The 22142-nt window shown below is 38.5% G+C and overlaps 1 protein-coding gene across 19 annotated transcripts in view, besides 1 other annotated feature; it reads right to left on the bottom strand.

The window, feature by feature from the left end:
• The window catches only part of THOC2 (THO complex subunit 2), a 132484-nt gene that overhangs the window by 75971 nt on the left and 34371 nt on the right, over nt 1-22142 (bottom strand). For 17 of the 19 annotated variants that reach the window (XR_007068195.1, NM_001081550.2, NM_001441236.1 and 14 more), the window contains exons 5-8: nt 21142-21212; nt 20182-20303; nt 19482-19615; nt 10009-10175 (exon numbers count right to left, since the gene is read on the bottom strand). Coding sequence is in view for 18 of the 19 variants with exons in the window: in NM_001081550.2 (NP_001075019.1) it covers nt 10009-10175; nt 19482-19615; nt 20182-20303; nt 21142-21212 (494 nt within the window). In the remaining variant the exon portion in view is untranslated. Of the gene's footprint in view, nt 1-1544; nt 9989-10008; nt 10176-19481; nt 19616-20181; nt 20304-21141; nt 21213-22142 lie in introns of those variants that run through there. The other 2 variants (XM_047442278.1, XM_047442277.1) reach the window with 1 other exon arrangement.
• Nucleotides 3490-4135: an enhancer, noted in NCBI's record as "NANOG-H3K27ac hESC enhancer chrX:122813879-122814524 (GRCh37/hg19 assembly coordinates)". NCBI's record gives its function as "activates a minimal SCP1, AML or CMV promoter by ChIP-STARR-seq in primed H9 embryonic stem cells {active_cell/tissue: H9 hESC(primed)}" and the evidence as "EXISTENCE:reporter gene assay evidence [ECO:0000049][PMID:30033119]".

The following is a 22142-nucleotide window of genomic DNA, read 5'->3' on the forward strand; positions in this document are numbered from 1 at the left end:
GCAGCAAAGTTGACTGATAGTTTTTTCCACTTCGTTATGTTGTTTTTGTGGCGAGACAGAGCTCTGGAGTTCCCTACTATGCCACTTTCAGTGATGTCCTATTGATGCCATTTATGGATCCTTGAGTCTACTGCCCTTCATTTTGCAACAATATTAGCCTCTGTCACTCTCTCTGACTACAATTCTTAACTTTTGGAGATTTTCATATACATGTAGGTGAGCCTTCTACCATGTAGCCTCTTGGTTCTCCTGAACCCTTTCTCTTCCAAAGATCTTCTATACCCTATCTTAACCACTTACTCCATATCCTAAATCTTATTATTACCACTAATGACAATCCTTCCATAATGCCAATTTCATGTATCTGTCCTCAAATGGGCCCTTAATGCTGCTGGACAATCATGTTCCATTTGTCTTAGCCATTCACTCAACTATATCATGTATCACTTAACAACGGAGATACATTCAATGCCTCTTTAGAGCATACTTACACAAGCCTATATGGTACATAACCTACTACACATGTAGGCTATATGGAATACTCTATGGCTCCTAGGCTACAAACCTGTACAGCAAGTTACTATATTGAATACTATAGGCAACTGTAACACAATGATAAGTGTTTGTGTATCTAAACCTATCTAAACACAGAAAAGGAACAAAAAAATTACGGTATAAAATATTTAAAATGGTACACCTGTGTAGGACACCCACCAAGAATGGAGTGTGCAGGATCAGAAGTTGCTCTGGGTAAGTTAGTAAGTGAATATGAAGGTCTAAGACATTGCTGTACACTACTATATATTTTATAAACACTATATACTTAGGTTACATTAAATTATTTTAATATTTCTTTCTTCAATAAATTAAAATAAATTAAGCTTAGTTACTGTAACTTTCTTACCTTATAAGTTTTTTAATATTTTTTTAACTTTTTGACTTTTTTGTAATAATGCTTAGCTTAAAACACACATTGTACAGCTGTACAAAAATATGTTTTCTTTATATCCTTATTCTATAAGCTTTTTTGTACTTTTAAGATTTGCTGGACAGGCACAGTGGCTCACGCCTGTAATCCCAGCACTTTGGGAGGCCGAGGCAGGCGGATCACCTGAGGTCAGGAGTTCAAGACCAGCCTGGCCAATATGGTGAAACTCCATCTCTACTAAAAATACAAAAAATTAGCCAGGCTTAGTGGCAGGCGCCTGTAATCCCAGCTACTTGGGAGGCTGAGGCAGGAGAATGGCTTGAACCCAGGAGGCAGAGGCTGCAGTGAGGCCAAGATTGTGCCACTGCACTCCAGCATGGGCAAGGAGAACAAAACTCCGTCGCAAAAAAAAAAAAAAAAAAGATTTTTTAAGCTTTTTAAACATGTTTGTTAAAAACTAAGACACAAACACACACATGAGCCTAGGCCTACACAGGATCAGAATCATCAGTATCACTGTCTTCCATCTCCACATCTTGTCCCACTAGAAGATGTTTAGGGGCAATAACACTCATGAAGCGGTCATCTATGATGACAATGTCTTCTTCTGGAATACCTCCTGAAGGACCTGAGGCTCTTCTTGAGGAGGTGTCACTCTTTTCAGAAATATGTCCATGCCACGATGGTTTGCCTGGTTTGTTTGTTTCATCACAGATTCGCTTGTAAGCAGACAATGCGCCATGTACATTCCTCTCTATTAATAAAAACCTTGGTCAGCATTGGGGTCCATGTTTTCAAACTTTTTTTTTTTTTTTTGAGATGGAGTCTTGCTCTGTCACCCAGGCTGCAGTGCAGTGGCACGATCTCGGCTCACTGCAATCTCCACCTCTCGCGTTCAAGTGATTCTCCTGCCTCAGCCACCCTAGTAGCCAGGATTACAGGTCTGCACCACCAAGCCCAGCTAATTTTTCCGTTTTTGGGTAGAGACAGGGTTTCTCCATGTTGGCCAGGCTGGTCTCGAACTCCTGACCTCAAGTGATCCACCCACCTCGGCTTCCCAAAGTGCTGGTATTACAGGCGTGAGCTACCGTGCCTGGCCCACGTTTTCAAACTTTTTAAGGAGCTTGCTGAAAAGCTTCTGCTAAACCCTTTACTGTGAATTTTCTTGGGGGTTCTTCTCCTGTAGTTTCCTTTTCTTGGGCCTCTTCTTCAGCTACGTGTTCCTGTTTCATTATAATCTTATGCAACCACCGTCATATATGTGGTCCATTGTTGACCGAAACATCATTGTGCAGCACATAACTGTACTTCCCTACCTTCTCTCCTAACCTCCAATACCTCCCTCTCTCATCCTCTCAGCTGATGTCCTTGCTTTCTACTTCAGTAAGAAAATTAGATCAATTAGACTTCTACAAACTCCCAATCACACCTACCCAACTATATCTACATATATTGCCTTTATACCTGTTATGATAAACTCTCTATCCTCCTATATCAAGTTAATCCACCCATTTAAGCACCAAACTCCATTTTCTCTATCCTCAAGAACACCGCTCCAAATAATTCTCACCTCTCTCCCCTGTAACACCAGCTCTCCACTTTCCACTCAGTCATACCCATCAGAATACAAATGCGTTCTCTCTCCCATCTTAAAAAAATCTCGAACCCACTTCCCTTGCCATCTACCATCCCATTTGGTCTGCACCCCTTTGTAGCAACTGCTTGATAAAGTTGTCAATTGTCACTGTCTCCAATTCTACTCTTTCCATTATCTCTTAATATCACCCAATTCCACCAAAACTGCTAGTTTTGACCTCCCTCCAATGGTTAATTTTCAGTCCTTAAATGACCTATCAGAGGCATTTGATGGTTAATCATTCCTTCCTCTATTTAGCTTCCAAAATGCCACATTCTCTCTTTTCCTCCTACTTTACATGTTGTTCCTCATCTACCTTATTTGCTGGTTCCTCGTCTTCTCCTAGACCCTTAACACTGGAGTGCCCCAAGCCTTAGTCCTTGGTTCTCTTCTCTTGCCTCTCTGTATACAACCCTTAGTGATTTCATCCAATGTCATGTATTTATATAGCATCTACATGCTTTTGATGCCCACACTTCTATTTCTGGCCTGGTCTATTCTCTTGAACACCAGGTCCGTATATCCAATTATTTACTCAGATCCATGTGGGGAAAAGAAAGAGAGATCAGATTGTTACTGCGTCTGTGTAGAAAGAAGTAGACATAGGAGGCTCCATTTTGTTCTGTACTAAGAAAAATTCTTCTGCCTTGAGATGCTGTTAATCTGTAACCCTACCCCCAACCCTGTGCTCCCTGAAACATGTGCTGTGTCAACTCAGGGTTAAATGGATTAAGGGCTGTGCAAGGTGTGCTTTGTTAAACAAATGCTTGAAGGCAGCATGCTTGTTAAGAGTCATCACCACTCCCTAATCTCAAGTACCCAGGGACACAAACCACTGCACACAAAACACTGCGGAAGGCTGCAGGGACCCCTGCCTAGGAAAGCCAGGTATTGTCCAAGGTTTCTCTCCACGTGATAGCCTGAGATATGGCCTCGTGGGAAGGGAAAGACCTGACCGTCCCCCAGTCCGACACCCGTAAAGGGTCTGTGCTGAAGAGCATTAGTAAAAGAGGAAGGAACGCCTCGTTGCAGTTGAGACAAGAGGAAGGCATCTGTCTCCTGCTCCTCCCTGGGCAATGGAATGTCTCGGTGTAAAACCCGATCATATATTCCATCTACTGAGATAGGGGAAAACCGCCTTAGGGCTGGAGGTGGGACATGCGGGTGGCAATACTGCTCTTTAAGGCATTGAGATGTTTATGTGTATACATATCCAAAGCACAATACTTAATTCTTTACCTTGTTTATGATGCAGAGACCTTTGTTCACGTGTTTACCTGCTGACCTTCTCTCCACTATTATCCTATGATCCCGCCACATCCCCCTCTCCGAGAAACACCCAATAATGATCAATAAATACTAAGGGAACTCAGAGGCCGGCATGGATCCTCCGTATGCTGAACGCCGGTCCCCTGGGCCCCCTTTTTTTCTTTCTCTATACTTTGTCTCTGTGTCTCTTCCTTTTCCAAGTCTCTCGTTCCACCTAACGAAAAACACCCACAGGTGCGGAGGGGCAACCCACCCCTTCAGATCCATATGTCGATTATCTACACTTGGATGTCTAAGAGACATCTCAAACTTAACATGCGCAAAGTGAATTCCTAATTCTCCCTCCCAACACTCCAAACCCAATCTACCTGAAATTTTCCCTAAGTTGGTGACAACACTATCTTTTTAACTGCTCAGTCCAAAAAACTTCAGAATAGTCCTTAACTCTACTTTCTCACATCCTGTATCCAATCCATCAGCAAACACTATTGGTTTACCTTCAAATACATTCAGAATCTCATCAATATCCACTGCTGCCACACACAATCAGACTGATCCATTGAAAATCTAAGTAACCACACACACACATGCATTCTCTCTCTCTCTCTCTCTCTCACCACAGACACACATGTACACACCCAACTCACGTCACCATTGGAGGCTGCTATTAAAGAAACTCCTTACTCTGATAGCTCGTAATTAGTGGGAAAATATTAATCATTTGTCCTGCCTTTCCAGTAGGAACCGTATTTCAAGGAAAGCAAACAGCCTGAGTTAGTAAGGGACAACTCTTCTTTATTAGAAGAATGACAGCTAATAAATATATAGGGCATGATAAAATTAGTAAATCATCAATTTGGAACCCCTAAAGGGAAAGGTGGCTCAAGCAAAGGTCATCCATGGATTCTAAACCATTTAATGTAAAGTTGATGAGAAACTGGATATTCCCAGGCTGCCAAAGTATCAACCTGCAGATAATTTGTTATTGAAGGGAAAGGTGGTGGGGGGGTGGGGGGATGCCATTGTATAACTGAGGAATCAGACTATCACAAACTTACTGAACCATTTAAAGACAGTCGAACATTAGATGTTACATAATCTATGAAGTATTTTTGCCATTAAATATTTTGCCTTTAGACCTAACTCCAAGTATAGAACAAATACAGGAAATAAAGAACAAATAAGATGAAAAAGCAATTAGATAAATCCAAAAGATGAGGTCTTCTAGGAATGGTCTCATCAATAAGTCAACGCCATTAAAAAATGGAGAAGGTGGGGAACTATTCTAAATTAAAAGAGACGAAGAATCTTGACAATCAAATACAACATGTGGTCTTTGATTAGATCATCATGTGAACATACCAGGTGTAAAATGCATTTTGGGGACAATTTGGAAAATATGAATACAGTCTAGGTTTATTATATGACAGTAATCTAATTATGTTATGAAATTGATCCTGGAGGATCACCTGAGGTCGGGAATTCGGGACCAGCCTGACCAACATGGAGAAACCCCACCTCTACTAAAAATACAAAATTAGACAGGCGTGGTGGCAGCCACCTGTAATCCCAGCTACTCAGGAGGCTGAGGCAGGAGAATCGCTTAAACCCAGGAGGCAGAGGTTGCGATGAGCCGAGATTGCGCCATGCGCTCCAGCCTGGGCAACAGGAGTGAAACTCCATTCAAAAAAAGAAAAAAAAGGAAAATGCCCTTCCTTTTAAAAACCGTAAACTATAGTATTTAGGAAGAAGCTTTCATGATATTTGTAACATAAATTAATATTTTTAATATGGCAACATGTTAATAAACTTAATTGTAAGTAATGGGGTTATAAGTATTCATTATACTATTCACTCTTTTCTACATTTGAAAATGTTCACAATAAAATGAGAGAGAAACAAAATGTAAAGCTAAGTTAGATCACATCACTACCCTACTCAAAACCCTCCACTGACTTCACTCAGTATCAAAATCAAAAACCTTGCACTGGCTCTGTGATCTCATCCCCCACATCTCTGACCTCATCTCCTACTGTTCTACTCAATCACTCTGATACATCCACACTGACCTCCTTACTGTTCTTCAACACATCAGGCATGCTCACACCTTAGAGCCATTGCATTGACTGTTCCCTTGGCCTAGAGGCTCTTCCTCAGACATCTATACAGTTTACATCCTCATATCCTTCATGTCTTTGCTTAAATCTCAACTTTTCAATGAGTATTCTCACTATTCCAGTTAAAATTGCAACCTACCACTCCTGATCTTATCTTGCTCTGTATTTTTCCCCATCTCATTAATTGTTTTCTAACATATAATTTACTCAGAATCTAAACATCAAAAAAGTAAGAATTTCTGTTTACAGATATAGCCTCAGTACCTAGTACACTACCTTGCACAAATATAGATTCTCAATCTATATTTCTTAAATGAATGAATTTGGGGTATGTATAATAGGGTTGAACCATGGTACTACCATTACTACTATTACTGTGTTTTGAATCCAGAAATCAAAGGGCAATATGGATGAGACCTATCACCTCCTCTTCCTTTCCTGTAACAAGACAACTCCAGACAAGTTTGTCTTCTGGTACCTTCACACTTTCTTGTACTCCCTTCCTGTCCTTTGTGCTGTCTCTCATGCTGTCCCCAAATCCTCTACTGTACAAGTTGAGTATCCCTCATCTAAAATGCCTGGGACCAGAAGTGTTTTAGATTTTGGAATTTTTTTTCAGATTTTGGAATATTTGCATACTGGTTGAGCATCCCAAATCTGAAAACCCAAAATCCAAAATGCTCCAATCATCTCCTTTGAACATCATTCAGTGCTCAAAAAGTTTTGGATTTCGGAGCTTTGTGGATTTGGGATGCTCAACCTCTCACTGTCGTTGATATCATAGAATAATACTAGCATTAAGGGGAAAAAAAAAGAAGCCTATTAATCCAAATAAGACCCAGCTGGTCAACATATGAGTTGGGGAAAAGGATTGTGAACATTTTCAGGTAGTGATGGGAAAGGGGTATGGGGGAATTAGGCCAGGGACCAATACACAGATTGACCATATATGCTTGGGAGCCAACTCTCAAGGTTACATCACCTAAGCAGTTCCTGATTTTCATAGCTTTCCTTACTTTACCTTCAAGGCCAAAACTTTTCAAAAATATCTGACATTTCTTCCCCTACCCTCAGTGGCCCTTAAAACTGCAGATTCTCACAATGACAAGACTTTTTTTTTTTTTTTGAGACAGAGTTTCGCTCTTGTTGCCCAGGCTGGAGTGCAATGGCATGATCTCGGCTCACCGCTACCTCCACACCTCCTGGGTTCAAGCAATTCTCCTGCCTCAGCCTCCCGAGTAGCTGGGATTACAGGCATGCGCCACCACACCCGGCTAATTTTGTATTTTTAGTAGAGACAAGGTTTTTCCACGTTGTTCAGGCTGCTCTCAAACTCCCAACCTCAGGTGACCCACCTGCCTCGCCCTCCAAAAATGCTGGAATTACAGGTGTAAGCTACCACGCCTGGCCCATAAGACAGTTCTAACAATAGAAACAAAGGGATGGTATTACATAGAGCAATATGAGGGTTAGTCATTCCAAGAACAAGTTATTTCTAAATTAAGTATTTATTGGGTAAGTATTTCTTATATAAGAAAAATGGTCGTTGTCTACAAAAAAAAAAAGATTATTCAAATACTGTTGACCCCCCCGGGTATATTTTAATTCAGCTCAGAAAAGTTACATTATTTATAAGGAATGTTTTCATACAAAAAGATTTTCATTCTAAAACTCACATTCAACTAACCTGATGTTATGCAGGTCATCATTATTCACTGTCATATGCTCTCAAACCCACAGTCTCCAAAGCCCTAATTTAAATTTTAATTAATCATGCACAAGTTAAATTTCAGCCAACCTGTCACTAAAGCAGTTGGCTTCATGTACTCAAGCCCAGAGCAATCATGGTGGCTCTTAAAATCTGACAGAATGCTTGAATCTCTCTTTCCCAATACCAAGAGTGGACTTTCTGAGACGGAGTTTTACTCTTATTGCCTAGGCTGGAGTGCAGTGGCATGATCTCGGCTCACAGCAACCTCCACCTCCCAGGTTCAAGAGATTCTCCTGACTCAGCCTCCCGAGTAGTGGGGATTACAGGTGCCCGCCACCACGCCTGGCTAATTTTTTTTTGTATTTTTAGCAGAGGCAGGGTTTCGCCATGTTGGCCAGGCTGGTCTCAAACTCCTGACCTCAGGTGATCTGCCCGCCTCAGCCTCCCAAAGTGCTGGGATTACAGGCGTGAGCCACTGCACCCAGCCGCCACTGCTCATTTTTGAACAAAGGTATTATGCTCCTGCCCAAAAACCCTACCATGTCTCTTGTTTGGTATTGAAAAGCTATATGCTTTTAAACTGTCGTCTGCTTTCTCTTCTGTCTGCTGGAGCATCCCAGATCATAGAAAATACAAGATGAGCAAAGGCAGTAGGTACTATATCATTTAAGAATACTAAAAGGAATTATCTTATTATCCTGACCTCACACTCCAAGAGTATAGAAACAGACACTCCTCTACACCAGAGTAACCTCAGTGCCTAGCAAACAGCATAATCATAAACATTCAATGAATGCTTTCTGACTAGCTGACTATCCCAGGCAAGTAAACAAATTAGCAGAGCTATACCAAAAGGTAAATGGAGGCCTTATTACATTAAAATCCTCCATGCTATCAAGAGAATTGTCTTCCTAAAACATAGATCACTCGTTTACAATTAGTGAGCATTTACTATAGGCTAGGCAATAAATTAATCCATAGGAATTAGTAAAACATAGAACCTTCCCTATATGGTTTACAATCTGGCAAAGGAGATAGATACAGTTTATTCACCTGCCCTATATGGTTTACAGTCTGGCAAAGGAGATAGATACAGTTTATTCTAAGATAATCTGATGGGTGTTAGAAGTTATGTGTCAAGTTTTATGAGAATACAGATTAAGAAGTGACTAATTCTGCATGGGTAAAGAGTCAGCTAAGCCTTTACAGAACAAGCAGCATTTGCTCTTAAAGAATAAATAGGAGTTCACAAGATGAAGAAAGGAGAAGTGAGAGGGTTGGGTAAGAATGGTTTCTTAGTTATAAGGAACTACAGGAACAAAGGTTCATAGCAATATCTATATCTAAGTTCAAGAAATGGCTAGTCACTTAATATGACTAGAATATTAGATTTAAGAAAAAAATAACTATAAAGATAAGGCCGGAAAGAACAGTGCCAAATTGTGAAGTGCTATTTCTGCCACATTTAGAAGTTTGAATTTCATCCTAGAAGTAAAGGTTTTTGACCAGTGAAGTGCCTCAGTTAGGTCTCTTTAAGAAAGCAACAATAACAATAATATGAAAGATGGATTGAAGTAGAAATAATCAGAGACACAGATTAGCTTGACCGCTATTTTAGTGGCTTAAGGGAATGATGTAAGATGTGCCTTGAATATTTATTCACATCCCTAAAAAATTCCAATAGCCATTGTTTATAAAACAAAATTCGTGATCCAAGCACAGTGGCACACGACTGTAGTCCCAGCTACTTGGGAGGCTGAGGTGGGAGGTTCACTTCGGACCAGGAGTCTGAGACTAGTCTGGGTGAGATCCCATCTCAAAATAAAAAATAAATAAATAAAAATAAGATTCTAACTCTTAACACAGTATTCAAAGCCTGTGACAATCTGAAGTACACATACCTTCCCAATTTCATTTCCTGTCCCTTCTTTTCCCATCTTACAACCCAGCCACATCAGACTATGAACCATTCCTTCTATCTCTATATATTCACACTGCCACATCTTGATTCTCACATTGTTCGTTACTCATGCAGAGAAAACCTTAATGAACTCCTATTCATCCTTCAAGGACCAGGTTTAAAAAAAGACACATCTATAAAGTCTTCCCTGACTCCACCTCTCCCAAGGCAAAACTTAATAATTCTTTCCTCTAGGCTTTCACATCACATCATTCATACTACCAATATAGTACTTATCACATTGCATTGTTAGCTATCCATTTATCTATCTCTTCTGCTAGAACACCTGAGATGAGACCAATCATTTACAAATAAAACAAATTAAATTATATAAACAAGATTAAGAAATCAATCTCTAAATATACATACATACACGTTTTTCTTTACCTGGTAAAACTTGAATTTGAACCCAAGAATATGACACAGTGTTTGCGGTTCACACATACTCATGTAAGATTCTAACAAAGATATAAAGAAGTCATCGTGTTCTGGCCTGCATTCAAACACTTCTAAAATGACATCCAAAACTCTATTGGGATCCAGATTAAAGCATCCTGCAACAGATGAGACATACAAAAATTTAAAAATGATTATACATCATTTCTAGTGAAGCCATTAATTTTCAGGAATAACTCATATAGCAAGATAAAAATGTTTTTAAAAACAACTTTCTTTACAAATTTGCTTCCTCTCTCCCAGAGGGAAATAAATCCACTACACATTTTTACAGATGAGAATGTGACTTTCCCAGAATCACAGAACGGGTTAATGACAGAGCTGGGTCAGTATAGTCCAGGACCAGTGATACCAGTCAAATAAACATTCCTCTATGCCACACTTTGCCTCATCAGTTCTTGATTACTCGGGCTAGTGAAACAGGTCCACATTATTAATTCTTGGAAAAACACGAAAATCAAACAATGCATTTTACAAATTAAGCAACAAAAGGGGTTTTTTTTTAATGTTTTAGGCAGAAGTATTTGGAATGCTGATAAACAGTTAAAAGTCCGGGTTCACAAAAGTGGACCATCATTTTAAAAATCATTTTTATTTTATCTTACATATACTACAGAACTATAAAATATACCACTGATTTATATCCATGGCTTTTAGTAGCATTCTAAAGGGAAAAGTGGTATGCTATTTATCCTAACAGATCAAAGAATACCAAGGGAGTTGGAGGCTCCTGGTTTACGTCAGTTCCCACATGCCTTTCATCAAGCTGAATGAGATTCTAGTATTTTAAAATATGTATATTTCATTAAACATAGTCCCTAAATGCAAGCTAACCACTTCATTGGGCTAACAAATAAACACTGATTTCTTCTAATACTGGAGGAAAAAAGAACTGTGATAAATTTAGGGACATATGTTACATCTAAACACTTATACCTTATGGATGAGTTAGGGGATTTTCCCAAGAAAATTCCTATGTAATTTCCATAGGTTGTATGTCCCAACCCTTTGGTAAGATGATATCTCCAGTTACTTATATTAACGCCACACTTATTTATATTAAATGCTACAAAACTAATGTCATTTCACGTTTCATACTACCTTAGCAATCACTTAGAAAACCAAATCCTCCAAATACAAGTTTTCCCTCTTTTTATGAGATCCAAACTTAAGAACACATTTTCTTCCGCTTCTCAAACTAAGGAAAAGAAGGACTAAAGCAGTGATCATGTCTTACTCAAAAAAAGCTCCATATTTTCATAAACTCTCCAAAAAGACGTTTCCCTGAAGTTCTAGGAAGAAAACTTCTAAATATTTTTACCTCCCCCTGTACTTCAAAAAAGTATGGCCTATGAATATAAAAGTGATTCGAAAATAGCAATTAAGATCCTTAAATGCTGCTGATGGCAATGTAAAATGGTACAACCACTTTGTAAAATTGGCAAGTTTCTTTAAAATTTAAACTTATACCTACCATATGACCCAGCCTAGGTATTTACCCAAGAGAAATAAATGTCTATGTCAATACAAAGATTTGTACACAAATGTTCACGGCAGGTTTATCTGTAATATACAATACTCCTCAAATGTCCATCAACATATAAATGGATAAGCAATTTGCCGTATAGGATAAGTGGAGTAAGGAAAAGTACAGTGGACATACTCAGCAATAAAAAGGGAAGAACTACTGATACAGGTAACAGTATGAAAGAATCACAAAATAATTATGCTGAATGAAATAAGCCAGACAAAAACAGTACACACTGTACGATTCCATTTATAGACAAATTCTAGAAAAAGCAAATTAATCTACAGTAACAAAAAGCAGATCAGGCCGGGCGTGGCAGCTCACACCTGTAATCTCAGCATTTTGGAAGGTCAAGGCAGGTAGATCACTTGAGTCCAGATGTTTGAGACCAGCCTCAGCAACATGGCAAAACCCTGTCACTACAAAAAATTAGCCAGGCATGGTGGCACATGCCTGTAGTCCCAGCTACTCAGGAGGCTGAGGCGGAAGGATTACTTGAGCCAGGGAGGCAGAGGCTGCAGTGAGTCAAGAAGAAGCAAATTGAGGGGGAATGGGAGAAATGTGCACTATCTTGTTTGTGGTGTTTTCACAGATGTATACATATGTTAAAACTCAAATTGCACATCTTAAATATGTGCATTTTACTGTATGTCAAGGAAGCCTCAACAAAGATGAAAAATGCCTTCACACTGCTGTAACACTGATGATAGATTATGGAAGTAAGATCTAGCAAATTATCAAATCATGTAACTTCTCCTACATTAACTAAATATAAAAAATTAAATCACTAAATAAAAATGAATTAACACTCTATCACAGAAGACAAAAGAGACACTGAATATAATTTTTGGCAAACTGGCTGGCTTATAATTACCCATTAGGCTACATACACAAAACTCATAAATAAAGAATAGAACAGCAACATGTTAGATTAAAATCTTTTAAGTGCTTCATTCACATTGCTTTTAAGTTTACATTTTCAGTATGCTGAAATGTGAACCACTAGCATTATGTTTTATTTAACAGCATTACTTCATCAAGGCTATTCTATCAGTGACCTTTACTATCAACTACCCACTTTCCTTCTAGGTGCAATTTAAGGCAGTAATCTGAAACAAGAGGTATGTGCACTTTTACTTATAACAGGTATCACCTTTGCATCTTTCATTAAAGAAAAACTGGCTCATGAGTTTTCTATTACATATCTCAGGTGCCGTAAGTCCAATTAATTTTATCCATAAGATAGAAAAGGTAGCCAATTGAAGGTTTAGAAAATTATTTTCATTTATTATTATTTTTAGAGACAGGGTCTCGCTCTGTTGCCCACGCTGGAGTGTAGTGGTGCATTCATAGCTCACTGCAACCTCACACTCCTGGGCTCAAGTGATCTTCCCATCTCAGCCTCCCAATTGGCCAGGACTACAGATGCAAACCAACATGCCTGGCTAACTTTTTTGTAGAGATGGGGACTCACTATGTTGCCCAGGCTGGTCTCAAACTCCTAGTCTCAAGTGATCCTCCTGCCTTACCCTCCCAAAGTGCTGGGATTGCAAGCATGAGCCACCATGCCCAGCTGAAAATCATTTTTAAAATCTTAGCGTTTTAAGTAACAGTTAAACTAGTTCATATACAGTGAGACTCTAATAATAATCAGTAAGTTTGAATATCCAAAATGTTTCCCTAATGGCAGCTGTAGTAGAACATAAGCAGTCTTGTATGCAAACATCTTAGAAGAGCTTTGTCCAGCCCAAGCACTGATAATCATGTGATCTTTACAGAGATCACAAACCTAGCTCCCTACCTCTACCACCAGCTACATTAATACACACAGCAATTTATATATATATACACACATATATATTTTTACATATACATACATACACACACACACACAAACACACACACATATGCCTTTATGCCTTTTGAGGAACAAACAAGAAACCATATTTAAAGAGAATAAGTGGAAAAATAAAGAAACTGCAGATCTACAATGGCCATAGATGCCCTCCTTCATTTAAATAAGTATTAAATAACTACCCACTATGTGCCAGGTGCTTGTGATTCTCCGGGAAAACAGAAGAGAGAAGAGAGGGAGGATAAACACAAAGAGGCAAGAGAAAATTTCAGGGGTAGTGGGAGGAATGTGCATTATCTTGTTTGTGGTATTTTCACAGATGTATACATATATTAAAAGTCAAATTGTACACTTTAAATATAAGCATTCTACTATATGTCAATGAAGCCTGAATAAAGCTGAAAAACTATAGCGATTAATAAAATGTTTACGCTACCCTTGAGAAGAGTTCACACCTTTTGAATGATACATCTTTGAAGAAATGCAGGAAAAAGCAACTGGAGTTTCCCCAAAGATAGAAAAAATAACCAGTTATGTTACAGTGACACCAACTAGGGGCAAGAAATATGATCAAACTGACAATGACTGTTGTAGAAATTAGGCCAAATTGAGATCTTAACAGGAAAATAAAAGACCAAGATAATATTGCAGACATAACTAGGAGAGATGTCCAGCCTATAAATTTCAGGCAAGAAAACGGAATTATAGCCTCAATCATCAAGTTCCTGAGAGAATGGACCTTAGGAGACAAAGAAAATCATGTTTTTAACAAAATGAAATGATCTACAATGTAGAAAGAGTTTCTTTAGAAGCTAATAAAAATCTATGCTAGACTATTTCTAAGAAACACTATTTGCAAAAAAACTGCACATCTCAAAGCAAGAACCAATGAATAACAAAATAAAAGTATGATCTAAAAAACAGTAACAAGGCCAGGCATGGTGGCTCACGCCTGTAATCCCAGCAATTTAGGAGGCCAAGGCAGGTAGATAGCTTGAGCTCAGGAGTTCGAGACCTGCCAGGGCAACATGGCAAAACCCCATCTCTACAAAAAATACAAAAATTAGACGGGCATGGTGGTGTGTGCCTGTAGTACCAGCTATTTGGGAGGCTGAGGTGGGAGGATGGCTTGAGTCCAAAAGGCAGATGTTGCAGTGAGCCAAGACTGTACCACTGCAATCCAGCTTGGGCAACAGAGCCAGACCCTGTCTCAAAACAAAAATAAAATAAATAACAACAACAAAAAACCCCTATAGTTGGAAACACTAATTGCTGTCTTCTTTTTCATACTATGAAGGGAAAACTTCTAACATATAGCCAAGAAACTTCAATAATGTAAAAATTTAAGTAAATAAGGCAGCCAACTTCCCTTTCAAAGAAATAGGAAAAAGGTGGCACAATAAGATGTGTCTAAGTTGAATGGACCCTATATTCAGATTGAACCAAAGATAAAATACTAAATACACTCAAAATCATGTAGTCAAAGGGGTGAAATGTCCCATAATCTATCCAAAAATAAAAATCGTTTGGCTTAAGGATTTATTTTGTTTTTAATGTTACTCTGGTCACTTGAGAGACTGAAGAGGCAAAGACTCTCACTCTACCCTTCCCTAGCCAAATCTATACCCTTTGACACCAGGCAACAAATGAAGGTCTTGAGGTTTGGTGAAGAAAGCTCTGGTTCTGCGAGCAAAGGTAAAGGGGTTAGAGCCTAGGCCAAAAAGGTCCTGGACCACTAAAATCCAAAACCAGGAAGAACCATTTTCACTCTCTAAAGCTACGCTCAAATAAGCTAGCTCCGTGATTAGTTGTTAGGCAGAACTTTTGATTTAGAGCAAGAATCAGCAAACTATGGCTTGTGGGTTAAATCCATTTAGCGGTCTGTTTTTGTAAATAACATTTTATTGGCACACAGTCACATTTATTTATGTACTATCTATAGCTGTTTTTACGCTGTTTTTACACTACAATGGCAGAATTAAGTAGTTACAACAGAAACCATATGGTCCACAAAGCCGAAAAATATTTACTATCTCACCCTTTATAGAAACACTTGCTGACCACTGATTTAGAAGAAAGGAAAGGAAAGAACACTTAGCAACCACTTGTTTTTATTATATATATTTAAAGTGTACAGCATGATGCTCTGATTTTTTTTGAAGGGCATCCAAAAGAGTAGAGTTCTTACCGTTTAGTTCAGCAAACAAAGGAGTCCACCTGTGATATCCTTTCCTCTAATTTCTAAAAGATGTTTTTTTGCCATCTTCAAGCTATGGCCACTTGTATGGTGTCTATGACTTGGCAGCTCAATAGTCTACTGTTCACTATTCATTCGTATTTAATAAGTTGTTCAAATTTAGTGTCAGATCACAATCACCATGCAGATGCATAATGGTTCTGCTTCCTTGCTTGCGCATGCAGTAAACAGCCCCAAGTTATCCAGCAGAATATAAAAATTTTGATGTGCCAGAATCTTTTAGGAGCAAATAACTGCCTTTTTTTTTTTTTTTTTTTTTTTTTGAGACAGTGTCTCACTCTGTCACCCAGGCTGGAGTGCAGTGGCACGATCTCAGCTCACTGCAACCTCCACCTCCTAGGTTCAAGTGATTCTCCTGCCCAAGCCTTCAGAGTAGCTGGGATTACAGGCATGTGCCACCATGCCCAACTAATTTTTGTGTTTTTAGTAGAGACAGGGTTTTACCATGTTGGCCAGGCTGGTCTCAAATTCCAGACCTCAGGTGATCTGCCCACCTCGGCCACCCAGAGTGCTGGGATTACAAGCTTCAGCCACCGCATCCAGCCAAATAACTGCCTTTTAACTAAAGGATGATAAGTAAGGATTTATCCTGGTCAGACCAAGTACCCTGAAAGTATGTGCACCTAAAATGTATACTGCCCAAACTAGGTATCAGTTTCTGACACTGGCTGATGAAGGAGGTATTACCTGTCTAGACTGTTCCTAAACAGAAAACAATGGGAATAAACACAGAGAAACCCATCCAAAGAGGCCATGAAAAATAGGATGCTGGTCAGTGAGGTGTTCTGGACAGAATGAGACAAGGCCTGGATGAAGTCTGCACTAAGAGGGACTCCAATAAATGCTAACAACACTGAAAGAATACTCATTGGAATTGAAGTTTCAACCTCTATTTTCACATCAATGAAAAGTTTCATTCAGGCCGTGTCCGGGGGCTCACGCCTGTAATCCCAACACTTTGGGAGGCTGAGGCAGGTGGATCACTTGAGGCCAGGAGTTCGAGACCAGCCCAGCCAACTTGGTGAAACCCCAACTCTACTAAAAACACACACACAAAAAAATAGCTGGGCATGGTGGTGCACGCCTGTAATCCCAGCTACTCGGGAGGCTGAGGCACGAGAATCGTTTGAACCTGGGAGGCAGAGGTTGCGGATAGCCAAGATTGTACCACTGCACTCTAGCCTGGGCAACAAAGCAAGACTCTGTCTCAAAAAAATAAAAGTTCATTTCTCAGACAATTGGGGGAGGAGGAAATCACCTAGTCAGAGATAAATAAACACTGAGACAGGAAGATGAACTTTCTAAAATTCTCCATATCAGGAAAAAAATGCTAAGAGTCAGTATAGATTATACAAGAATAGAGGAAATATTCATTCCTTTTTTACCCAGTATTTATTTATCACCTACATACCAAGTATTAAGGATAAGGTACCAAACAAAACCCCAGTCCTCACAGAGCCTACATCACAGGTGGAGGGGGAGGAGGTACAGAGCATATTATATGGTGATATGTGCAAAAAAAGAAAAATAATCAGGGAATAGCAGGGAGTTTTGACAGGGGTGGGCAGGGAAGGCTTCACTAAGAAGGTGACATTTGACTGCTACTTGGTGGGTTAAAATATAGGTTTAGCCCAATAAATCAAATTGTTTATACTCATAGACTGTCCATATACCTCATGAGCTTGCAGTTGTGCCTGTTACACTGTTCTTCAGAAACAGGATCATAGCCTGTTCTCCCTGAGAGTAAAGTTCAAGAAAAGTAAGTAGTATACATTTTCTAGTAAGATAAAAGCACACCTTCAAGAAAAATCCCTCTTTGAAATGTTCCCAAAATAACAAAGGAATAAAAAGGTATAAACTCACAAGAAATAGAAGAAACAGATGTCAACAAAAAAGGATATAAAGTTAAAAAAAAAAAATAGCACAGAATTTTTATGTGGGGAATACTACCTTAAGTAAGTATGACAGGATACAAGGAAAGACAAACTTATAGCAAAGCAGTACTGAAAACCTTCTCAAGCTAGATCAAAAAACACTCAGGAAAGTGTGGCGCCTACCCTAGAAAGAACAGAAAGGGGCTGGGCACAGTGGCTCAAGCCTGCAATCCCAGCACTTTGGGAGGCCAAGGCGGGCGGATCACCTGAGGTCATGAGTTTGAGACCAACCTGGCCAACATGGCAAAACTCCATCTCTACTAAAAATACAAAAATTAGCTGGGTGTGTTGGCTGGAGTCCCAGCTACTCAGGAGGCTGAGGCAGGAGAACTGCTTGAACCCGGGAGGCAGAGGTTGCAGTGAGCTGGGATTGCGCCACTGCACTCCAGCCTGGGTGACGGAGTGAGACTCCATCTAAAAAAAAAAAAAGAAAAAAAAAAGAGAAAGAAAGAACAGAAAGGAACTAAGGAACCACCATGGGAAGGTTTTTAAAAATGGGTCACTGCCACACAGTTAAGCAAGAGTCCCACAGCCCTAGGGGGCCACCCATCTTGGTGTTAAATTGACAACTGGAAGAAACAACAAAGACACTAGATCAGCTGCCAGAACTAGATTAACTTCAAAGAAAAGAGTAAATTTAAACAAAAGGCTATTTAGTTGGGCACAGTGGCTCATGCCTGTAATCCCAGTACTTTGGGAGGCCAAGGCAGAAAGATCGCTTGAGCCCATGAGTTCAAGACCAGCCTGGGCATAGCGAGACCCCGTCTCTTAAAAAATAAATAAACAAAAATTTAAAAAATAAACTAAAAGCTACTTACTTGTTGGTAAGAACAAAGGTGATTATAGTAAATATAGTTTTAATTGGATTCCTACACAAAGCACTAGAGGAAGGAGATAAGGATTGGGACACCTTCTCCCTCTTTCTTAGTCATATATAAACTCCAAAAAAAGAGAAAGAACCAAGAAGCTGAGGATAAGCACCCCTAAGATACAACTAGTGAGGCACAAAATATGACTCCTCTGGCAGGTCTCAAGACCCAGGTACTGCAAAATCTTCCCTAAGATAGCACAACACCTAGTAAATAATAAAAAAACTCTTTCCACCTCAGGAAAATCTGGATTACCCTATTTTTCTAGTGCTCATTCATCTTTTTTACAGAAGTCAACTACTTCTTCCAAATGCTCAATGCAAATAAAAAGAAAACAGTAATGCTACAGGAATTCTACTTAAAGGGTAGGGAGAATAATAACTTTCCTATCTGTTACACTTTTACAACAGCTGTTGCACTTACTTTAAAAGGCTACTATAAAGATAAAATAAGTATCAAAGTCCCTTGTAAAGTTATTTTGAAAATCAAGTTCAAAATTACACATCTGTAGTTTCAAAAGTTCACTGAAGATTTACTGTATTAAAGTTTTCATGTTTGCTTTTTGGTCCTCCATAAAATGGTTGAGAAATACTTAAAAATAGAAATACTAGAGAAACGTAGGGCACTCTATCAGAACAGTCCATCCTGTTCTTTGTCATCCATTCTCTTTTGAAAGTGTTGGCTTACCACTCAGGATCCCCTCCACAAAAAAGAAAGACTAGACAGAGCAGGACCTAATATTAACATACAAGGTATAGTGACAATAAGATTTCTCACAAATATCATGCTAAATTTTATAATTATTGATAAACCATTAAAAGTAAAAGCTAAACACCTCTCCCATTCCTTAACTGAAAAAAAAAATAGATGGAATGCACTCATTTTGTCTTTATGGATATTCTCCAATAGCTAAAATAACTTGTTATCTTAACAACACATACTATACAGATAAATGTCTTACCTATTAAAGATTTGATATTTTCTAAGATTAAATCACTAGTAATACTTCCAGATAAATCTTGCCCCAATTCAGCAATCAGCTTGGCATAACCTTCATTCTCTTCTCTTAACAAATTGAATTTTTGCTGCTTATAACTGAAATCAGATAAATATCATTAAGGGGATAAAATTAATTTTAATTAACAAGCTTGCACAGAGTACTGTATTCTCACTGAATTTTCTTATCTCCAACCTACAACAATCCTAAGAATAGTTGTTGAAAGTTTACCTCTTTGTGTACCTTTTAGAGTAGAAAATAACAGTGATTCATATGAGAACCCCAATATTAATTACATAGGGAAAACCAGTAACACAAGAAAAGGATATTGTTAATATCAGGGAACAATAACATATCACCATTTCCATCTCTAAGAATATACCCTGAGTATAGCCACAGTCATAAATTATTTTATTGCTAATGATGAAAGCATGAGTATTATTTTAACTTTGAATATGGGCAAAAGTAACAATGGTTTTGCACAGGTAAAGATCACTGATGACTCAATATTAGGCTACTTTTAGAAGGCAAAAAACACAAGACATGCTAACCACAAACAAAAAAAACAATCTTCAAAGTCCCCTTAGAAGCTACTAGGATTCAAAATATGAACGAAAAAACATACTCAGATACTTGATCTGCAACATAAGATACGTGTACTTACAAGAGTTTTGTCTTGATTTTAACTGACTTTTGATTGAATTGCTGTGATTGTTTGATAAGCCCTAATGATTCCAGTGTTTCTGGATCCAGGCGTTCCTTTAGAACTGTGTCTGAAACTAAATACTGTATTAAAAAATATTAAAGGTCATTTATTCCTTAGCATTGCATCCACAATGTTAAATATATTCAAACTAAAGCTTCCTAAATAAGAATACAAAAATAACATTCTCTACATAACAACCTACAATTTATAAAAAGGCTTAGAAGTTCAATTTAACAAATATTGACTCCAAATATTGAAATATTTAATAAACGGCTTTCAAAAAATTCACTATAAAATTATATGCATGTTGTATACTGCCTATAAATGACAAGAACTACAGATGAAATTTTCAATATGACTGCATTTGGCTTATCTGGACTTTCACCTAATACAGCACTTAATAGCCTCCTACTTTAAGTTAAATTCTAGTATAGCAAAGACAAGCACCTTCTTCCAGGTCTCAACCACGGCAGTTCTCCCTGGTTCTAAATTTATGAACACAAATGGTTTACCAGACAACAATCATGGCAAGTTCTAGAATTTATCATTTTTAAACTACCTCTATTCTTTTACTCTTTGCTTAACAGTTTATGAGGAAAAAAATCCATTTAAAAGCTGTCTACAATCATTTCTACTTACTTTATAAATGCTTACCTTTTTCTTAGGAACTTACTAGGTCAGGAATATCACCAAAGGTTTTAAATGTATAGATAGTTTAAGTGATATGGATATGGTTACATGCTTATTTCACAGAAACAGCATGTCTTATTTCACAAAACATTCCATTTCAAAACCCAAATCTCACCTTATGAGAAAAGTCAACTGAATGTCAATATCCTCCTTCATTAACATGATTAACTTCTATTACAACTGTTTAATGCAGATTTTTAAAAGGGAAAAATATTTTTAAAAACTTACCAAACATGCTAATACCAACTGTGTAAAATAGTCTCTCTTGCTTTTTTCTTCTAAACAATTTGTCTCAATGTCTATAATGATGAAGAAGAAAAAAGTTTGATTGATTTGTCTAGACTCCCCAGCACTAAAGTAAGATACTTATTTTATTTGAAACTAACTAATTTTAAAATGCCTCAATCTGAATTTGGAAAAATTCAAAACTATGGTAACATGAGATGTTATATGAATGCTTTAATTTCTCCTAAAACTGGAGATTGACCCTGTGACCTATGACAGATCCATAAAACAGTACATCAACTACACTGGAGCTACCTGCTATGGCACTGGAAGCAACAAAGCTTCAAAAACTATTGTTCGCAAAAAATGAAACATTCAAACAAAGTTTAAATGACCACTTGTCAGAGATGCTAAAAAAAAAAAAAAAAGATTATTTTAGGTGGAAAGTTGAACAGGGTTATAACAAAGATTTCTTCTAACTCTAAAGAGCCTAATACTCAGGCTGGGCGCAGTGGCTCACGCCTGCAATCCCAGCACTTTGGGAGGCCAAGGCGGGCGGATCATGAGGTCAGGAGTTCAAGACCAGCCTGACCAACATGGTGAAACCCTGTCTCTACTAAAAATGCAAAAATTAGCCTGGGGTGGTGGCACACGCCTGTAATTGCAGCTACTCAGGAGACTGAGGCAGGAGAATCGCTTGAACCCGGGAGGCGGAGCTTGCAGTGAGCCGAGATCGTGCCACTGCACTCCAGCCTGGGCAACAGAGCGAGACTCTGTCTCAAAAAAAAAAAAAAAAAAAGATCCTAATACTCATGAAGATCAAACCCATGACTTTCGCCACCCTGGTCAAATTACCATGTTCTAACCAAGCTACCTGGCCACCAACCTTATGAAAAGACAGTATTAAATATTTTTGGCCGGGTACAGTGGCTCACACCTGTAATCCTAGCACTTTGGGAGGCCGAAGCGGGTGGATCACCTGAGGTCAGGGGTTCAAGACCATC

This window comes from Homo sapiens, chromosome X (genome assembly GCF_000001405.40).
Source record: "Homo sapiens chromosome X, GRCh38.p14 Primary Assembly".
Classification (NCBI taxonomy): domain Eukaryota; kingdom Metazoa; phylum Chordata; class Mammalia; order Primates; family Hominidae; genus Homo; species Homo sapiens.